Source organism: Homo sapiens, chromosome 16 (genome assembly GCF_000001405.40).
Source record: "Homo sapiens chromosome 16, GRCh38.p14 Primary Assembly".
Taxonomy (NCBI): domain Eukaryota; kingdom Metazoa; phylum Chordata; class Mammalia; order Primates; family Hominidae; genus Homo; species Homo sapiens.
In genome coordinates, this window is record NC_000016.10 from 28,931,345 (window position 1) to 28,950,802 (window position 19,458).

The 19,458-nt window shown below is 52.5% G+C and overlaps 1 protein-coding gene across 6 annotated transcripts, besides 2 other annotated features; it reads left to right on the top strand.

Annotated features, from left to right (window-relative positions):
* On the top strand, positions 627-7,998 carry CD19 (CD19 molecule). Of its 6 annotated transcripts, none has more exons than NM_001178098.2 (15): positions 627-744; positions 1,002-1,268; positions 1,567-1,770; positions 1,890-2,165; positions 4,100-4,210; positions 4,809-4,857; positions 5,168-5,256; positions 5,679-5,792; positions 5,927-6,031; positions 6,111-6,179; positions 6,280-6,336; positions 6,425-6,481; positions 7,329-7,424; positions 7,528-7,634; positions 7,797-7,998. In NM_001178098.2, exons 1-14 carry the CDS (start codon positions 657-659, stop codon positions 7,617-7,619), a joined length of 1,674 nt encoding a protein of 557 aa, NP_001171569.1. In that variant the 5' UTR covers positions 627-656; the 3' UTR covers positions 7,620-7,634; positions 7,797-7,998. The 6 variants fall into 6 exon arrangements, 4 of the variants coding, with proteins under 4 accessions (NP_001171569.1, NP_001761.3, NP_001372661.1 ...); NM_001770.6 differs by having other exon boundaries at positions 7,332-7,424; NR_169755.1 differs by having other exon boundaries at positions 1,002-1,770; positions 4,086-4,210; positions 7,332-7,424.
* Positions 5,476-5,555: an enhancer, noted in NCBI's record as "active region_10652". NCBI's record gives its function as "activates an Ori minimal core promoter by ATAC-STARR-seq in GM12878 lymphoblastoid cells {active_cell/tissue: GM12878}" and the evidence as "EXISTENCE:reporter gene assay evidence [ECO:0000049][PMID:35858748]".
* Positions 18,915-19,449: an enhancer, noted in NCBI's record as "H3K27ac-H3K4me1 hESC enhancer chr16:28961580-28962114 (GRCh37/hg19 assembly coordinates)". NCBI's record gives its function as "activates a minimal SCP1, AML or CMV promoter by ChIP-STARR-seq in primed H9 embryonic stem cells {active_cell/tissue: H9 hESC(primed)}" and the evidence as "EXISTENCE:reporter gene assay evidence [ECO:0000049][PMID:30033119]".

Genomic DNA, 19,458 nt, shown 5'->3' on the forward strand with positions numbered 1-19,458 from the left:
GCTGTATCTCATTAACTGAGGGCTTATGATGTGCTGGACACTGGGCTAATAGTGCTGAACATATTGTCATTTTTAATCTTCACAAACAATATTTGTATAGGACTGTTTTCTTTTCTTTTTTTTTTTTGAAACAGAGTCTCACTCTGGTGCCCAGGCTGGAGTGCAGTGGTGTGATCTCGGCTCACTGCAACCTCCGCCTCCTGGTTTCCAGTGATTCTCCTGCCTCAGCCTCCTAAGTAGCTGGGATTACAGGTGTGCGCCACCATGCCCGGCTAATTTTTTTTTTTTTTTTTGAGAAGGAGTCTATGTGCCCAGCATTGTTCTAGAGCACTTGCAATTAGTGGTGAACAACACGGTCTCTACTCCAAGGGGCTCACATTCTTGTGCAGAAAACAGAAATGAACAAATAAACACACAAGATCATTTCCCGTGGTAGTGAGAGCTGGGATGAAAATAAAACAGCGTGGCAGGGAGGAGGCAAGTGTTGTGAGTCTGGAGGGTTCCTGGAGAATGGGGCCTGAGGCGTGACCACCGCCTTCCTCTCTGGGGGGACTGCCTGCCGCCCCCGCAGACACCCATGGTTGAGTGCCCTCCAGGCCCCTGCCTGCCCCAGCATCCCCTGCGCGAAGCTGGGTGCCCCGGAGAGTCTGACCACCATGCCACCTCCTCGCCTCCTCTTCTTCCTCCTCTTCCTCACCCCCATGGAAGTCAGGCCCGAGGAACCTCTAGTGGTGAAGGTGGAAGGTATGTCCAAAGGGCAGAAAGGGAAGGGATTGAGGCTGGAAACTTGAGTTGTGGCTGGGTGTCCTTGGCTGAGTAACTTACCCTCTCTGAGCCTCCATTTTCTTATTTGTAAAATTCAGGAAAGGGTTGGAAGGACTCTGCCGGCTCCTCCACTCCCAGCTTTTGGAGTCCTCTGCTCTATAACCTGGTGTGAGGAGTCGGGGGGCTTGGAGGTCCCCCCCACCCATGCCCACACCTCTCTCCCTCTCTCTCCACAGAGGGAGATAACGCTGTGCTGCAGTGCCTCAAGGGGACCTCAGATGGCCCCACTCAGCAGCTGACCTGGTCTCGGGAGTCCCCGCTTAAACCCTTCTTAAAACTCAGCCTGGGGCTGCCAGGCCTGGGAATCCACATGAGGCCCCTGGCCATCTGGCTTTTCATCTTCAACGTCTCTCAACAGATGGGGGGCTTCTACCTGTGCCAGCCGGGGCCCCCCTCTGAGAAGGCCTGGCAGCCTGGCTGGACAGTCAATGTGGAGGGCAGCGGTGAGGGCCGGGCTGGGGCAGGGGCAGGAGGAGAGAAGGGAGGCCACCATGGACAGAAGAGGTCCGCGGCCACAATGGAGCTGGAGAGAGGGGCTGGAGGGATTGAGGGCGAAACTCGGAGCTAGGTGGGCAGACTCCTGGGGCTTCGTGGCTTCAGTATGAGCTGCTTCCTGTCCCTCTACCTCTCACTGTCTTCTCTCTCTCTGCGGGTCTTTGTCTCTATTTATCTCTGTCTTTGAGTCTCTATCTCTCTCCCTCTCCTGGGTGTCTCTGCATTTGGTTCTGGGTCTCTTCCCAGGGGAGCTGTTCCGGTGGAATGTTTCGGACCTAGGTGGCCTGGGCTGTGGCCTGAAGAACAGGTCCTCAGAGGGCCCCAGCTCCCCTTCCGGGAAGCTCATGAGCCCCAAGCTGTATGTGTGGGCCAAAGACCGCCCTGAGATCTGGGAGGGAGAGCCTCCGTGTCTCCCACCGAGGGACAGCCTGAACCAGAGCCTCAGCCAGGGTATGGTGATGACTGGGGAGATGCCGGGAAGCGGGGGTCCAGAGACAGAGGGGAGGGGAAACTGAAGAGGTGAAACCCTGAGGATCAGGCTTTCCTTGTCTTATCTCTCCCTGTCCCAGACCTCACCATGGCCCCTGGCTCCACACTCTGGCTGTCCTGTGGGGTACCCCCTGACTCTGTGTCCAGGGGCCCCCTCTCCTGGACCCATGTGCACCCCAAGGGGCCTAAGTCATTGCTGAGCCTAGAGCTGAAGGACGATCGCCCGGCCAGAGATATGTGGGTAATGGAGACGGGTCTGTTGTTGCCCCGGGCCACAGCTCAAGACGCTGGAAAGTATTATTGTCACCGTGGCAACCTGACCATGTCATTCCACCTGGAGATCACTGCTCGGCCAGGTAGAGTTTCTCTCAACTGGGAGGCATCTGTGTGGGGGTACTGGGAAGAAGTGGAAGCCAGTCAATCTTAGATTCCCCCAACCCGAGGGCTACTCCCAGCCTCACCCCAAACCCCAACTTCCACACAGAACACTGACTCCAAGTCTTTCTTTTTTTTGACAGAGTCTCGCTCTGTTGCCTAGGCTGGAGTGCAGTGGTGCCATCTTGTCTTGGCTCACTGCAACCTCCGCCTCCCAGGTTCAAGTGATTCCCCTGCCTCAGCCTCCTGAGTAGCTGGGATTACAGGTGCCCACCACCACGCCTGGCTAATTTTTTTTTTTTTTTTGAGACGGAGTCTTGCACTGTCACCCAGGCTGGAGTGCAGTGGCACGATCTCAGCTCACTGCAACCTCCACCTTCCAGGTTCAAGTGATTCTCCTGCCTCAGCCTCCCGAGTAGCTGGGATTAAAGCCTGGCTAATTTTTTTTGTATTTTTAGTAGAGATGGGGTTTCATTATGTTGGCCAGGCTGGTCTCAAACTCCTGACCTCGTGATCCACCCGCCTCGGCCTCCCAAAGTGCTGGGATTACAGACATGAGCCACAGGGCCGGGCCAAGCCTAATTTTGTATTTTTAGTAGAGATGGGGTTTCTCCCTGTTGGACCAGGCTGGTCTTGAACTCCTGACTTCAGGTGATCTGCCTGCCTTGGCCTCCCAAAGTACTGGGATTACAGGCATAAGCCACCGCACCTGGCCTAGACTTCAAGTCTTTCTTCCCTCGCTTCCAAGACACTACTTTTCTGGGTCTTCACCTACCATTGCTTGCGCCTGCCCACCAGCTTGGGTGGAGTCTTCCTTCCTCCCCAACTCCTCACTCTTGGAGCCCTGGGCCCTCTTCTTATCCCTGTCTGCACACTTTCCTATTTGAACTTGACTCTCAATGGCTTCTTGGGTCACCATGCCTTGGTGACTCTATTCCAGGCTCCATACTCAGCCATCTCCTGTGCCATTTGATATCCCATGGACACCTCAGGCTCAACAGATACAAAATCAAACTCAATGTCTTCCCCAAGTATAGTCTTCTTGGTGGCCCAGTGTAAGCAGAGGGCACCACCACCTGCTCCCTCGCCCAGGCTAAGAACCTGGGCATCCTTCTTTTTCCTCACCCCGTCCAACAAACTGGTCACAGTGTTCTGCCAATTCTCTCTCCATGCAATCCTATCATGCTATCCTAACTGCAATTCACAAACCCAACCCCAACTTTCACTCCAAACTTGATCCAAGCAATGTGCTGGATCCCAACTGTAACCTTGCAAACTCAACTCTGCCCTTCACTTTGACCGTGACTATCCTTAATTGCAGCAGGAAACTGATCATTATGCTCCCCTCAATCCACACATTGCCTCTGAGTACAGCCATGGTTTGTCCACGATTTGCTCAAAGACACTGCCCCATGTCCTGTGCCAGGGTCTGTGACAATCCCTGACCTCCTGGGACATGGCTCCTTAGAGAGAGGAGAGCCTTTCTCACAGCTTGGGACTTTGAGTCTGTGTCTTTTTTTTTTTCTTGAGACGGAGTTTTGCTGTGGTTGCCCAGGCTGGAGTGCAGTGATCTCGGCTCACTGAAACCTCCGCCTCCCGGGTTCAAACGATTCTCCTGCCTCAGCCTCCCAAGTAGCTGGGATTACAGGCACCCACCACCATGCCCAGCTAATTTTTTTGTATTTTTAGTAGAGATGGGGTTTCACCATGTTGGCCAGGCTGGTCTCGAACTCCTGACCTCAGGTGATCCACCCGCCTTTGCCTCCCAAAGTGCTGGGATTACAGGCGTCAACCACCGCGCCCGGCCGAGTCTGTGTCTTGCCTCTGTGCCTCAGACTTGCGGTTCCTTGAGATCTCAGGATTGGGACGTAAGATGCCAGCCTGGGGTCCTCGTCTCATAGCCCCTTCCCCCTAGTACTATGGCACTGGCTGCTGAGGACTGGTGGCTGGAAGGTCTCAGCTGTGACTTTGGCTTATCTGATCTTCTGCCTGTGTTCCCTTGTGGGCATTCTTCATCTTCAAAGAGGTGAGTCATGTCCCCAGTGGGTCTGTCCAAACCCTACTCCATCTTCCCCAGGATAAGCCGGCTCTGGCCAGTCTGACAACCATCTTTCTTTCCTCCCATCCCTCCCTTCAAGACCCCAGAATCCTGTTCTCCCCAGTCTTCCTCTAGCCTCCCTCAAACTTCCCAAGCCTCTTGCAATTTTTTTTTTTTTTTTGAGACAGGGTCTCATTCTGTCACCCCAGCTGGAGTGCAGTGGCACAATCTGAGCTCACTGTAACCTCTGCCTCCCAGGCTTAAGTGATTCTTGTGCTTCAGCCTCCCGAGTACCTGGGACTACAAGTGTATGCCACCACACCCGGCCAATTTTTTATATTTTTAGTAGAGACGAGGTTTCACCATGTTGGCCAGACTGGTCTCGAACTCTTGACCTCAAATGATCCGCCCACCTCGGCCTCCCAAAGTGCTGGGATTACAGGCACGAGCCACCGCGCCCGTCCGCCTCGCAATTTGAACTCCTGTCTCCTTTGTTGAACCAAGTGACCTCCCCAGCACCTGGCCCCACAAATCCTCACCCTGCCAAGCAGCCCCTCCTCTGATCACGCCCTTTAACTCCCACCAGCCCTGGTCCTGAGGAGGAAAAGAAAGCGAATGACTGACCCCACCAGGAGGTAATGCAACCAGTGCACCCCGCGGTAACACCCTCCACCTTCACTTTATGCCTTGCACTTACTGTTTCCTCTGCCCAGGGGTTCTTTGCTCCGTCTCTACTGTTTCAAATACTGCCCAACCTCAAAGCCCAGCTCCAAAGCTACCTCCTCTGTGAAGAACTCCTTGGAAATGATCATCTCAGACTCCTCTATTGGCTGTCCCAGCACAAGTGATCACGTTTAACTTCTGAAGGCCTGGACAGAATCTTGAGTGGGTCCGCCATTCCATTCCAAGTCGGCCCTCACCGTGCACTTCCTCTTCTCCCGCCAGATTCTTCAAAGTGACGCCTCCCCCAGGAAGCGGGCCCCAGAACCAGTACGGGAACGTGCTGTCTCTCCCCACACCCACCTCAGGCCTCGGTAAGAGGCACCGCCCCTCCAGCCTATAGCTCCGCCCCAGATCCGGGGCTCCACCCCCACTCTCCTCATCCCTCCAATCCGCTGTGCGCCAAGCCTTCTGGAGCTCGGAACTCCGCCCCCGGGGCGGGGAGTCCCGCCCAGCTATGAGCCCCGCCTCTAGAACCAGACCCCGCCTCCAGGGCTCAGAGCCACGCCCCCAGGACCCAGAGCCTGAAGTCGTAATCAAGAGCAGAACTTCGCCCCAGAACTGAAGGCCTCGGCCCTAGATTTAGATTCCGCCCCAGGGTTCAAGGCCGGGTTCCTAGACCCAGAGTCCATTCGCAGAGCCCAAAACATCCTCTTCCCGTGCCCCGCCGCGCGGACCCTTAGCCTTGACCGCCCCCATCTCTTCTGACCCCGTCTTACAATGCCCCTCTCACCAGGACGCGCCCAGCGTTGGGCCGCAGGCCTGGGGGGCACTGCCCCGTCTTATGGAAACCCGAGCAGCGACGTCCAGGCGGATGGAGCCTTGGGGTCCCGGAGCCCGCCGGGAGTGGGTGAATGACTGGGAGAGGGAAGGGTCGTTCCCCACATGGAGGGGGTTGGAGCGGTCTGTGGCCCGAATAGTGGACTGGGCCCTGGAGGAGAGGGGGCATGACTCGGTTCCCCATCCCCATCCCCAAACCCCCAGGCCCAGAAGAAGAGGAAGGGGAGGGCTATGAGGAACCTGACAGTGAGGAGGACTCCGAGTTCTATGAGAACGACTCCAACCTTGGGCAGGACCAGCTCTCCCAGGGTAAGGCTGCCCTCCCCCGTGGCCCCCCACCTCTGCGGTGGCCTGTGGACTCCCATGGACACCCCTCCTTCTCCACCAGATGGCAGCGGCTACGAGAACCCTGAGGATGAGCCCCTGGGTCCTGAGGATGAAGACTCCTTCTCCAACGGTAACTTGGGGCCTTTGTGGGACCTCAGAGACTTAGGTGTAATTGCAGCGCTGTGACACTCCTAGAAGGGGTCCCTGGAGTTCTCTCTCTTCTGCCACAGCTGAGTCTTATGAGAACGAGGATGAAGAGCTGACCCAGCCGGTCGCCAGGACAATGGGTGTGTGTGAGGATGGCAACAGTCCAGGGGGGAGGCGGAGGACACCTGGAGGCCAGGAGGAATAGTAACCTCCCTCTTCCCTTTCCAGACTTCCTGAGCCCTCATGGGTCAGCCTGGGACCCCAGCCGGGAAGCAACCTCCCTGGGTGAGAGATGCTTTCAATCAGACTGCCTTGCCCAGCTTGGGTGACCTGGCCTCAGCTCTGACACCAGATCCAACTTTGACCTGACCCTGACCCCAAACCCGAACCCAATCCTGTGACTCCTCTCACCTCAACACTGAGCCCCATCCCCCATCCTGAGCCCCATCCCCCATCCTGACCCCCAATATTTACCCCCTCCCTAACTGTGAATATCAACACCGATCCCAATGCAGTATCAGCCTGGACTTGATCTCCACCTCACCTCAGCCCCAGTGCAGACCTCAACTTGGACCCCAGCTTACTCTGCAGCTTCTTCATGACTCTGACTCCGACTCCCTCCAGTTTCTTCTTTTTCTTTTTCTTTTTTTTGAGACGGAGTCTCCCTCTGTTGCCCAGGCTGGAGTGCAGTTGCCACCTCTGCCTCCTAGGTTCAAGCGATTCTCATGCCTCAGCCTCCTGAGTAGCTGGGATTATAGACGTTTGCCACCACACCTGGCTAATTTTTGTATTTTCAGTAGAGACAGGGTTTCGCCATGTTGGCCAGACTGGTCTCCAACTCCTGGCCTCTAGTGATCTGCCCGCCTTGGCTTCCCAAAGTGCTGGGATTACAGGCATGAGCCACCACGCCCAGCCCAGTTCTGTTCTTGACCCCTTCCTTAGCCATAATCTAACCCATATCTAACCCTGACCCTACAGCTAACTGGGGCCCCAAACTCAATGCTAACCAAATCACCCCTTCCCAGCACAGCATGGGTAATGCTCCTCACCTTCCTCTGCCCCTCAGTCTTCCTCCTTACCGTAGGCTGTACTTCCCATGCCCTAGCCTCCAATTCTCCATCCCCCGCCCAAGCAGGGTCCCAGTCCTATGAGGATATGAGAGGAATCCTGTATGCAGCCCCCCAGCTCCGCTCCATTCGGGGCCAGCCTGGACCCAATCATGAGGAAGGTGGGTGCTTCTGCCGCTGTCCCCTGCTGTCCCCTGGGCTGACTTTGCCTTCCAGCCTACTTCCAGTGCCACCCATGTTCTCCTCCTCCCTGGTCCTATCCAGATGCAGACTCTTATGAGAACATGGATAATCCCGATGGGCCAGACCCAGCCTGGGGAGGAGGGGGCCGCATGGGCACCTGGAGCACCAGGTGATCCTCAGGTGGCCAGGTGAGCTGGGACTGCCCCTAGGGAAAGCGGGGAGGGAGGGAGATAGGCACGGATGGCAGTGGCTGCTGGCTTTCAGGGAGGGAGAGGGAACAGGGTTCCTAGGGCCTGGTGGGCAGGGGGAGGACTGCTGGACCCCTCCCCATCACCGTTTCTTCTGCATAGCCTGGATCTCCTCAAGTCCCCAAGATTCACACCTGACTCTGAAATCTGAAGACCTCGAGCAGATGATGCCAACCTCTGGAGCAATGTTGCTTAGGATGTGTGCATGTGTGTAAGTGTGTGTGTGTGTGTGTGTGTGTATACATGCCAGTGACACTTCCAGTCCCCTTTGTATTCCTTAAATAAACTCAATGAGCTCTTCCAATCCTATGAAGTAGTGCCATTGTGTGGGAAGGAAGGGAAGGAAAGGAAAGGAAGGAAAGGGAAGGGAAGGAAAGGAAGGGAAGGAAAGGCGTCTTGAATCCCATGGAAGAGGGAGGGCTGCCTTCTGCATACAAAGGGCCTTTTCCCGGTGCGGTGGCCCACACTTGTAATCTCAGCACTTTAGGAGGCCAAGCAGGTGGATCATTTGAGGTCAGGAGTTCGAGACCAGCCTGGTCAACCTGGTGAAACCCCGTCTCTACTAAAAATACAAAAATTAGCTGGGTGTGGTGGCGAGCCTGTAGTCCCAGCTACTTGGGAGGCTGAGGTTGGAGAATCACTTGAACCTGGGAGGCAGAGGTTGCAGTGAGTGGAGATGGTGCCATTACACTTCAGCCTGGGCGACAGAGCGAGACTTCGTCTCAACAAAAAATAAAAATAAAAATAAAACAAAGGGCCTTTCCCCTTCCATGGCCTAGCCTTCACCTACTGCCCTCTTTTGCCCGCTGCCCACAGATCCGTCACGATCAGCCCCCTCCCACCATCCAGCTACCCAATTATCATTAATTCAGCAGTTACATGCTGGGTGCCCAGTGGAGAAACAGCCCAGGAATTAGCAGTCTAGTTAGAAGATGCTATTCATTGTCACTGAGTACTTATTTATTGAGCATCTACTATACTCTTCTTTTTTTTTTTGTTTTTGAGACAGGCTCTCGCTTTGTTGCCCAGGCTGGAGTGCAGTGGTGCAATCATGGCTCACTGCAGCCTCGACCTCCCAGGCTCAAGAATTTCTCCCACCTCAACCTCCCAAGTAGCTGGGATTACAGGTGCCCGCCACCATGCCCAGCTAATTTTTTGCATTTTTAGTAGAGACGGGGTTTCACTATGTTGGCCAGGCTGGTCTCGAACGCCTGACCTCATGATCCACCCGCCTCGGCCTCCCAAAGTGCTGGGATTACAGGTGTGAGCCACCGCACCCGGCCACAGCTCATTTTTTATTTTTTGTAGAGATGAGGTCTTGAATGCCTCATGCTGCCCAGGCTGGTCTTGAATGCCTGGGCTCCAGTGATCCTACCAACCTTGGCCTCCCAAAGTGCTGAGATTACAGGCGCCCACTATCACACCCGGATAATTTTGTATTTTTAGTAGAGACAGGGTTTCCCCATGCTGGCCAGGCTGGTCTCAAACTCCTGACCTCAGGTGATCCACCTGCCTCAGCCTCCCAAAGTTCTGGGATTACAGGCGTGAGCCACAGTGCCCGACCTTACTATGTTCTAAGCACTAATATCAATGAGCAAATTTTATCGTTACAATAACTTCACAAAGATAGTAAGCACTTATTATGTGGCAGGATTGTATTCAAATATTTTATGTATATTTTATGGACATGTTATGTATGTTTGTGTATATTCATTCATTTTATCTTTACGACCCTATGAGGTAGGTATACTATTAATATTATTTTCACCATTTCTTTTCTTTCTTTCTTTTTTTTTTTTTTTTTTTTTTTTTTGAGACAGGGTCTCACTCTGTCACCCAAGCTGGAGTGGGTGGTGCCATCTTGGCTCACTGCAACCTCTGCCTCCTGGGTTCAAGCTATTCTCCTGCCTCAGCCTCCCAAGTAGCTGGGATTACAGGCCTGTGCCACCACACCTGGCTAATTTTTGTATTTTTAGTAGAGATGGAGTTTCTCCATGTTGGCCAGGCTGGTCTCTATCTCCTGGCCCCCAGTTAACAGCTCCCTGCCTCGACCTCCCACCCTGTTTTTGTTGTAGAAATTTCTTCTTTATCTCTGAGCATGTAAAACTTACTTCATCTTTTTTTTTTTTTTTTTTTTTTTTTTTTTGAGACGGAGTCTCGCTCTGTCACCCAGGATGGAGTGCAGTGGCACTGTCTCGGCTCACTGCAACCTCTCTCTTCCCTGTTCAAGCGATTCTCCTGCCTCTGCCTCCTGAGTAGCTGGGATTATAGGCATGTGTCACCACACTCGACTAATTTCTGTATATTTAGTAGAGACGGGGTTTCACTATGTTGGCCAGGCCGATGTCGAACTCCTGACCTCAGGTGATCCACCCACTTCAGCCTCCCAAAGTGCTGGGATTGCAGGCGTGAGCCACTGCGCCTGGCCTTTTTTTTTTTTTTTTTTTTTTTGACAGAGTCTTGTTCTGTCACCCAGGCTGGAGTGCAGTGGCTTGATCATAGCTCACTGCAACTCCTGGCCTCAAGCAATCTGCCTGCCTTGCCCTCCCAAGGGTGCTGGGATTACAGGCACCCAGCCCCTAAAACTTCTTTCATCTGTATTAACATTACTACGATGTGCCAGGCATCGTACCGTTCTCCAGGTGGCGACTCATTTTATCTTTACCACTGTCCTATGAGGAAAGTACACTAAAAATTATTATTATTTTACAGCTAAGGAGATTGGGGCACAGATAAATTAAATACTTCAATTGCTAACTGACTTTAGGCAACTTAACCTGACCCTCCACTGCCTCAGCTATAAAATCCCATTAAGGCGGAGGCATGCTGTAGTTACTATTACTTTTACATGGCATGTAAAAGAAGTCAAAGAAACCTTCCATGGAGGCAGGGCACAGTGGCTTATGTCTGTAATCCCAGCCCTTTTGGAGGCCAAGGCAGGTGGGATCAACTGAGGTCAGGAGTTCGAGACCAGCCTGGCCAACATGGCGAAACCCGTTTCTACTAAAAATACAAAAATTAGCCGGGCATGGTGGCAGGCGCCTGTAATTACAGCTACTCGGGAGGCTGAGGCAGGAGAATTGCTTAAATCCGGGAGGCGGAGGTTGCAGTGAGCCGAGATGGCACCACTGCACTCCAGCCTGGGCAGCAGAGCGAGACTCTGTCTCAAAACAACAACAAAAACCTTCCATGGTGACCCCATGAGCCATGAGAATGGAAGTCCCCATGGAAGATTTCTTTGATTTCACGGAAGGTGTCTTTGACTTCTTTATGTTTCTCCTGCCTGTGACAGCCTCATGGGTTCCTGGGGCCCCACTGACAACCTCTGGGGCCGGCTTGCTTTGGCTCCTGCCACAGTCTTACAGGCTGCACAAGATTCTGACCATTTTATTTATGAGTTCCTCAGAACAGGTTTCTGCACCAGAGGTTTGGGCTAACTCCAAGCCTATACTTTGGTTAGCTTTGGGGTTCTGAGTGCCTGGATGGCTTTTTCCATTCATTCTCAGGCGGCTCGCTTCTACATTGTGAGCCAGGGCCTGGGGATGGATTTTTTTTTTTTTTTTTGAGATGACGTCTTGCTCTGTTGCCCAGGCTGGAGTGCAGAGGTGCGATCTCAGCTCACTGCAATCTCCGCCTCCTGGGTTCAAGCGATTCTCCTGCCTCAGCCTCCTGAGTAGCTTGGACTGTAGGCACGTGCCACTATACCGGCTAATTTTTGTATTTTTAGTAGAGACGGGGTTTCTCCATGTTGGTCAGGCTGGTCTCGAACTCTTGGCCTTAAGTGATCCACCCACCTCAGCCTCCCAAAGCCCAAAGTGCTGGGATTAAAGCCCAGGCTGGAGTGTAATGGTGTGATCTTGGCTCACTGCAACTTCTGCCTCTTGGCTTTAAGCGATTCTCCTGCCTCAGCCTCCTGAGTAGCTTGGATTACAGGTGCCTGCCACCATGCCCGGCTAATTTTTTATATTTTTAGTAGAGACGGTGGCGGGTCGGGGGGAGTTTCTCTATGTTGGCCAGGCTGGTCTTGAACTCCTGACCTCCTGATCCACCCGCCTCGGCCTCCCAAAGTGCTGGGATTACAGGCGTGAGCCACCTTGCCCGGCCCCCATGTGGGTGTTAAAATGCCAATCGTAGGGGATTCCTGCATTCCCACAGGCTGCTTGACTTCACTGTCCCCACTGCCCCCACCACTGTGGCTTTGATTTTCCTCCTTATTCTGGAACCAAGAAGATTCTGTCTTCCCTTTGAGCTTAGCTACCTATTAAAAAAAAAAAAAGCAGCACTCCTCATTATATTTTGCTTAGTGTATGCATGCATTTGGAATACAAACCTCTAGTACTTCTTTATGCTTGCATCTTGAACACAAGTCTCTGAGACTCCAAAAAAAATCCAGATCATCTGGTGCAGCATTTGTCTGCTCCCCACCAGCTGTTCACATTGCCATAATCCCCTACCTTAAGCTTCAGCTAAAATAAGCTCTCACATGGCTGTAATCCTTGCTGTTCCCTATTACCTTTTTTCCCAGCCTGCCTCATTCATCTTGGTTTCCTGCCTGTCTGAAGCACCTGAGCCTGTGACTCCTGGTGAAAATATCCTGCTGGCCAGGCTTGGTGGCTCACACCTGTGATCCCAGCACTTTGGGAGGCCGAAGCGGGTGGATCATGAGGTCAGGAGTTCGAGATCAGCCTGGCCAACATGGTGAAACCCTGTCTCTACTAAAAATACAAAAATTAGCCAGGCATGGTGGCTTGTGCCTGTAGTCTCAGCTACTGGGGAGGCTGAGGCATGACAATTGCTCAAACCCAGGAGGCGGAGGTTGCAGTGAGCCGAGATCGCGCCATTGCACTCTAGCTTCGGTGACAGAGCAAGATTCTGTCTCAAAAAATAGAAAACAAAAAGAACACATCCTGTCTTGCTGGGATCGGATCCATGTCCAAGTCATCTCTGTGCCCCTGCTCCCCAGCTGGGGGATGAGAAGGGTCAAGGAATGAGTGGGGAAGGAGGAGGAAGAGTGAATGAAGGGCTGTGGGAAGTGCTGTGATGGGTACTTTACGCATTTGGGGTGCAGAGGAAGGAGACACCCTTGTGGGCTCTGCCACTTTGGGGAGTCTCCCAGGAAGTTGAGGTTGGGACAGAGGTGTGCTGCCTCCCACCAAGTGCCCTGGAATCAGACTAGCTGTTTTTTGTTTGTTTGTTTGTTTGTTTTGATGGAGTCTGGTTCTGTCACCCAGGTTGGAGTGCAGTGGTGCAATCTTGGCTCACTGCAACCTCCACTTCCCAGGTTCAAGCAATTCTCCTGCCTCAGCCTCTTGAGTAGCTGGGACTACAGGCACACACCACCAAGCCCAGCTGCCCAGCTAGATTTTTTTTGTTTGTTTGTATTTTTAGTAGAGACAGGGTTTCATCATGTTGGCCAGGCTGGTCTTGAACACCTGACCTCAGATGATCCGCCTGCCTCAGCCTCCTAAAGTGGTGGGTTTACAGGCATAAGCCACTGTGCCTGGCCCAGACTAGCTGGGTTTATGTGAATCCTGGCTCCACCCCTTTCCAGCTACATGGCTTAAGCTCTCTGAACTGCAATTTCCTGGTCTGTAAAATAGACCATGAAATAGTAATTCAGAAAATGAGGACATTATCAATGAGTCTTAAATGACACGTAAAGCATACAACAGTGGCTTAGCAAGGACTCAAGCATGAGCTCTTATTATTTGACATCTTATTTATTTATTTATTTATTTATTTATTTATTTTGAGACAGGGTCTCACTAGGCTAGGCTAGGCCAGGTTAGAGGGTAATGGCACAATCATAGCCCACCGTAACTTTGAACTCCTGGATTTGAGTAGTTCTCTCACCTCAGCCTCCCTAGTAGCTGGGACTATAGGCGTGCACCACCACACCCGGCTGGCTAACTTCTGTATTTTTTGGTAGAGAAGGGGTTTTGCCATGTTGCCCAGGCTAGACTTGAGCTCCTGGCCTCAAGTGATCCTCCCACCTCGGCCTCCCAAAGGGCTAGGATTACAGTCGTGAGCCACTGCGCCTGGCCAAAAAATAATTTTTTTTTTTTTTAAGAGATGAGGTCTTGGCTGGGCACGGTGGCTCACACTTGTAATCTCAGCACTTTTGGAGGCTGAGGCGGGTGGATCACTAGGTCAAGAGATTGAGACCATCCTGGCCAACATGGTGAAACCCCGCCTCTACTAGAAATACAAAAATTAGCCGGGCCTGGTGGCACACGCCTGTAGTCCCAGCTACTTGAGAGGCTGAGCAGGAGAATCGCTTGAACCCAGGAGGCGGATGTTGCAGTGAGCCGAGATCACGCCACTGCACTCCAGCCTGGCAACAGAGCGAGACTCCGTCTCAAACAAAAACAAAAACAAAAAACAGAGATGAGGTCTCGCTATGTGTGCCCAGGCTAGCCTTGAGCTCCTGGACTCAAGCAATCTTCCCATCTCAAGCATTCCTAGTAGCTGGGACTTACAGGTGCACTTTCAGCTCTTGAGCAAGGTTTGGGGAAAGGAGACTTGAAAATTTTAGACTCTCAGGGCCACCTCCTGCTTGCGGTTTGCAGTGGTTTCCCGGGAGCGCCCAAGACTGGCCTGCCGCCTGGCTACAGAGAGAGGCTGAAGGCCTCCTGGGGCTGGGAAGTCGGTGGAGTCCAGGAGCCTCCGTTTCCTGGAAAACAGCTCCACCTGCTGGCTGTTGTGCGCCTGCAGTCCTGACCTTGGCGGAGTCTGCACGGGGAAGGGAAATGCATGCTGGTCCAGCGGGGGGCGCCTGCAGGGGACATCGGTGCCGCGGTTGGGATGGAGGCGTATGGGATGAGACTAGGGCAGAGGTGGACATGCCGTTCTGCGTGGATGTATGAGGCGCGAGTTTTGTGAGCACCGTGGGTGTGAGCAGCATGTGGTATTGGGTGTGTGCGGTGTGGGTATCCTGAGCGACGTGTGGCGTGGGACGTAAGTGTGAGGCGGCAGGTGGTTATACGGTTGGAGGCAAAGTGGGAAGAGTGAAGTGTTGAAGGGGCGTGTTTGTGTTGTGTTGGGATATATGTTGTGCAGGAGTTGCCAACGCTGTGGATGTGTGGAGGGCGTGTAGTCTCTGAGGTGCACAATATTGTTGGTAGGAGGTGTTGGCGAGTGTGTTTGGGAAATATAATTAAGAAACAAAATATCTAAACCCAACAAACTTCTCCACAAAGGTAGTAGAGACAGAAAACAGTTTTATTATTATTTTTGGTTAAAAAGTTGTAAAATGGGCCTGGCGTGATGGCTCACGCCTGTAATCCCAGCACTTTGGGTGGCTGAGGCGGGCGGCTCACCTGAGGTTGGGAGTTCGAGACCAGCCTGACCAACATGGTGAAACTCCATCTCTACTAAAAGTACAAAAAATTAGCCAGGCGTGGTGGCGCATGTCTGTAATCCCAGCTACTCAGGAGGCTGAGGCAGGAGAATCGCTTGAACCCGGGAGGTGGAGGTTGCAGTGATCCAAGATTGTGCCACTGCACTCCAGCCTGGGCAACAAGAGTGGAACTCCATCTCAAAAAAAAAAAAGTTTTAAAATGTATTATTATTTTTCGTAGAGTTGGGGGTTTTACTATATTGCCTAGGCGGGTCTTAACGCTCAGCCTGAAGTGATCCTCCCACCTTGGCCTCCCAAAGTGCTGGGATTACAGACGTGAACCACTGTGCCTGGCCTTAAATTGTATGTATTTATTTATTTTTAGAGAGAGGGTCTTGCTCTGTTGCCCAGGCTCGAGTGAAGTGGTGAGATCATAGCTCACTGCAGCCTTGAACTCCTGGGCTCAATCAGCCTCCCAAGTAGCTAGGACTACAGGTGTGCATCACGACACCCACTAATTATTATTACTTTTTGTAGAGACAGGGTCTTGCTATATTGCCCAGGCTGGCCTTGAACCCTAGACCTCAAGTGATCCTCCCACCTCAGGCTCCCAGTGCTGGGATTACAGGCATAAGCCAACATGCCCGGGCTGGTTTTATTATTGAATAAGCATAATTTTTCTTTCTTTTTTGACATGGAGTTTCACTCTTGTTGCCCATGCTGGAGTGCAATGGCACAATCTCAGCTCACTGGAACCTCTGCCTCCCGGGTTCAAGTGATCCTCCTGCCTCAGGCTCCGGAGTAGTTGGGATTACAGGTGCCCACCACAATGCCTGGCTAATTTTTTGTATTTTTAGTAGAAAAATACACCACCATATTGGCCAGGCTGGTCTCGAACTCCTGACCTCAGGTGATCCAACCACCTCAGCCTCCCAAAGTACTGGGATTAGAGGCGTGAGCCACTGCACCCGGCTTGAATAAGCATTAAGTTAGAATGTGATGCACATCACTGGCAATCTGGTAAAAGATTGCAAAGGCAAAAAGAAATATCCTTCATTACAGCCAAGCAGGTGTAAACCATTATCCTGTTTTCAAGATAAAATTTCAAATTCCATATTGTTACAGGAGCTGCAGGTTCATATGCCCACTGTGCAGTCACAGCTCTGTGACTCTGAGACGGTGGGGATGCAGCAGAGAGAGTTTAATGATTGCAGGGTGCCGAGCGAGGTGATGGGAGGAGACCCTCAAATCTCTCTCCAGGGAGTTCTGGGCTGGGCTTTTAAGGGGTTTGTGGGGAGTGATGGGCTGGAATATTGGGGTCATTGATTGGTTGGGAAGGGGGATGAAATTGTCAGGGTGTAGAAGCTGCATTTTGCGGGGAGTCAGCTCCTTGTGGGGTCCTTCAGGTCAGCTGAATCAGTAGTTCCATCAAGACCTGAAGGAATATCTCAAAGGGAACACCTAATGTAATGTCCAAGCCGTGATTCAAGAGCAGTTAAGGGGAACTATAATCTTCTGACAGGGGCTGTGTGACTGTGGGGCAACAGGCACCAGATGGCTTTGGGGAAGCAGGTCAGGGAGCAGCTGCCCTGAGATCAATGCTGAGTGCACCGCAAGTTTGGTTTCTTTTCATTTCTCCCTCTCCCTTCTTCTCAAGTTTATAGGGGTGGTTGCAATACCATGTTTTCAAGATAAACAATGACTAGTCCTCACGTAAGAGGACGTGACAACACCTTTAGTCAAACATAGTTCAGCCTTTTTTTTTTTTTTTTTTTTTTGAGACGGAGTCTCGCTCTGTCGCCCAGGCTGGAGTGCAGTGGTGCAATCTCGGCTCACTGCAACCTGCGCCTCCTGGGTTCATGCCATGCTCCTGCCTCAGCCTCCCGAGTAGCTGGGACTACAGGCGCCCGCCACCACGCCCAGCTAATTTTTTGTATTTTTTAGTAGAGACAGGGTTTCACTGTGTTAGCCAGGATGGTCTCAATCTCTGGACCTTGTCATCCGCCCGCCTTGGCCTCCCAAAGTGCTGGGATTACAGGTATGGGCCATCGCGCCTGGCTTTTTTTTTTTTCTTTTGCAACAGAGTCTGGCTCTGTCTCCCAGGCTGGAGGGCAATGGCTCGATCTCGGGTCACTGCAACCTCCACCTCCTGGGTTCAACTGATCCTCCTGCCTCAGCCTCCCAAGTAGCTAGGAATACAGGCGCACACCACCATGCCCAGCTAATTTTGTTTTGTATTTTAGTAGAGATGGGGTTTCACCATGTTGGCCAGGCTGGTCTCGAACTCCTGACCTCAAGTGATCCACCCGCCTCGGCCTCCCAAAGTGCTGGGATTACAGGCGTGAGCCACCACGCCTGGCCCCAGTCTAACTTTATGATGGTAAGTGGGGTGACCACCTGTGTTATTGAATTGGCTTGTATGGTAGGGGTGAGTAGACACAAACTTTTCATATCTTTAGGACAGGAGGTAGCCTGCATCTTGGAGCAAGACTGAAGCCAAGCTTTTCCCTCCTAGGGGAAATGGGAGACAAGAGAGCTAACTGCCTTGACGACGGCATTTCGTCAGGGCTCCCAGGTCCTTGAATTCCTGAATTTGGAGACTGGCAAGTGGCTTATGTAGCCATCATGAAGATTTACATATGCCAGGCTGGGTGCTGTGGCTCACACCTGTAATCCCCGCACTTTGGGAGGCCGAGCCAGGTGGATCACTTGAGGTCAGGAGTTCAAGACCGGCCTGGGCAACATGGTGAAACCCCGTCTCTACTAAAAATACAAAAATTAGCTGGGCAAGGTGGCAGGCAACAGTAATCCCAGCTACTCGGGAAGCTGAGGCAAGAGAATCCTTTGAACCCTGAAGGTGGAGGTTGCAATGAGCTGAGATCGCACCATTGCACTCCAGCCTGGGCAACAGAGCAAAACTCCGAATCAAGAAAAAGAAAAAAATAAAATAAATAGTCGGGCGCAGTGGCTCACGCCTGTAATCCCAGCACTTTGGGAGGCCAAGGCGGGGGCGGAGGGGGGTGGATCACCTGAGGTCAGGAGTTCAAGACCAGCCTGACCAACATGGTGAGACCCCATCTCCACTAAAAATACAAAATTAGCTGGGCATGGTAGTGCACGCCTGTAATCAATCCCAGCTACTTGGAGACTGAGGCACGAGAATTGCTTGAATCTGGGAGGCAGAGGTTGCAGTGAACCGAGATCGAGCCATTGCACTCCAGCCTGGGCAATAAGAGCGAAACTCCATCTCAAAATAAATAAATAAATAAAATTAAATAAATGAATAAAATAAAATTTAAAAATAAATAAATACATAAGATTTTTTTTTGAGATGGAGTCTCACTCTGTTGCCCAGGCTGGAGTGCAGTGGTACAATCTTGGCTCAGTGCAACCTCTGCCTCCTGGGTTCCAGCGATTCTCCTGCCTCAGCCTCCCGAGTAGCTGAGATTATAGGCGCCTGCCACTACGCCTGTCTAATTTTTGTATTTTAGTAGAGACAGGGTTTTACCATGTTGGTCAGGCTGGTCTCGAACTCCTGACCTCAGGTGATCTGCCCACCTCGGCCTCCCAAAGTGCTGGATTATAGGCGTGAGCCACCACGCCCAGCCTTATTATTTCTATCTTTCTTTCTTTTTTTGAGAGAGAGTCTCGCTCTGTCGGCCAGGCTGGAGTGCAGCGGCAGGATCTGGCTCACTGTAACCTCTGCCTCCCGGGCTCAAGCAATTCTCCTGCCTCAGCCTCCTGAGTAGCTGGGATTACAGGCGCACGCCACCACGCCCGCCTAATTTTTGTATTTTTAGTAGAGACGGGGTTTCACCGTGTTGGCCAGGCTGGTCTTGAACTTCTGACCTCGTGATTCGCCTGCCTCGGCCTCCCAAAGTGCTGGGATTACAGGCGTGAGCCACCGCGCGCGGCCAGCCTTATTATTTCTTTAAAGCATTTTTGAGACAGGGTCTCGCCCTGTCACCCAGGCTGGGGTGCAGTGGTGCGATCTCCGCCTCCCGGGCTCCAGCGAAACTCCCACCTCAGCCTCCTGAGTAGTTGGGACCACAGAGGGGTGCCACCACGCCCGGGTAATTTTTGCATTCTTAGTAGAGACGCGGTTTCGCCACATTGGCCAGGCTGGTCTCAAACTCCTGAGCTCAACCAATCTGCCCGCCTCAGCCTTTCAAAGTGCCAGGATTACGGGCGTGAGGCACCGCGCCTGGTTAAATCCGCGGTTTCCACAGGGAATTCCAGGCCCGCCTTCCTTCTCCCGGAAACCTTACCGCTCGAGGACTACATTTCCCAGGATGCCCTGCGACTAACCAAGCCGGAAGACGGTTGTCTTGGTTGGGCGGGTCCGGGAGAGGCTCGTCTGTGGAGAGGTGGCCCAGCCAATGGGTGAGGCCGACTGAATCGAAAGCTACGGTGATTGTGCCGAGG

Excerpts from the sequence above, each read along its gene's own strand:
- CD19 (NM_001178098.2), top strand. The coding sequence starts at position 657 with ATGCCACCTCCTCGCCTCCTCTTCTTCCTCCTCTTCCTCACCCCCATG. Across the intron at positions 1,771-1,889 it reads GAACCAGAGCCTCAGCCAGG|ACCTCACCATGGCCCCTGGC; the intron begins GTATGGTGATGA and ends TCCCTGTCCCAG. Across the intron at positions 6,482-7,328 it reads CCGGGAAGCAACCTCCCTGG|CAGGGTCCCAGTCCTATGAG; the intron begins GTGAGAGATGCT and ends CCCCCGCCCAAG.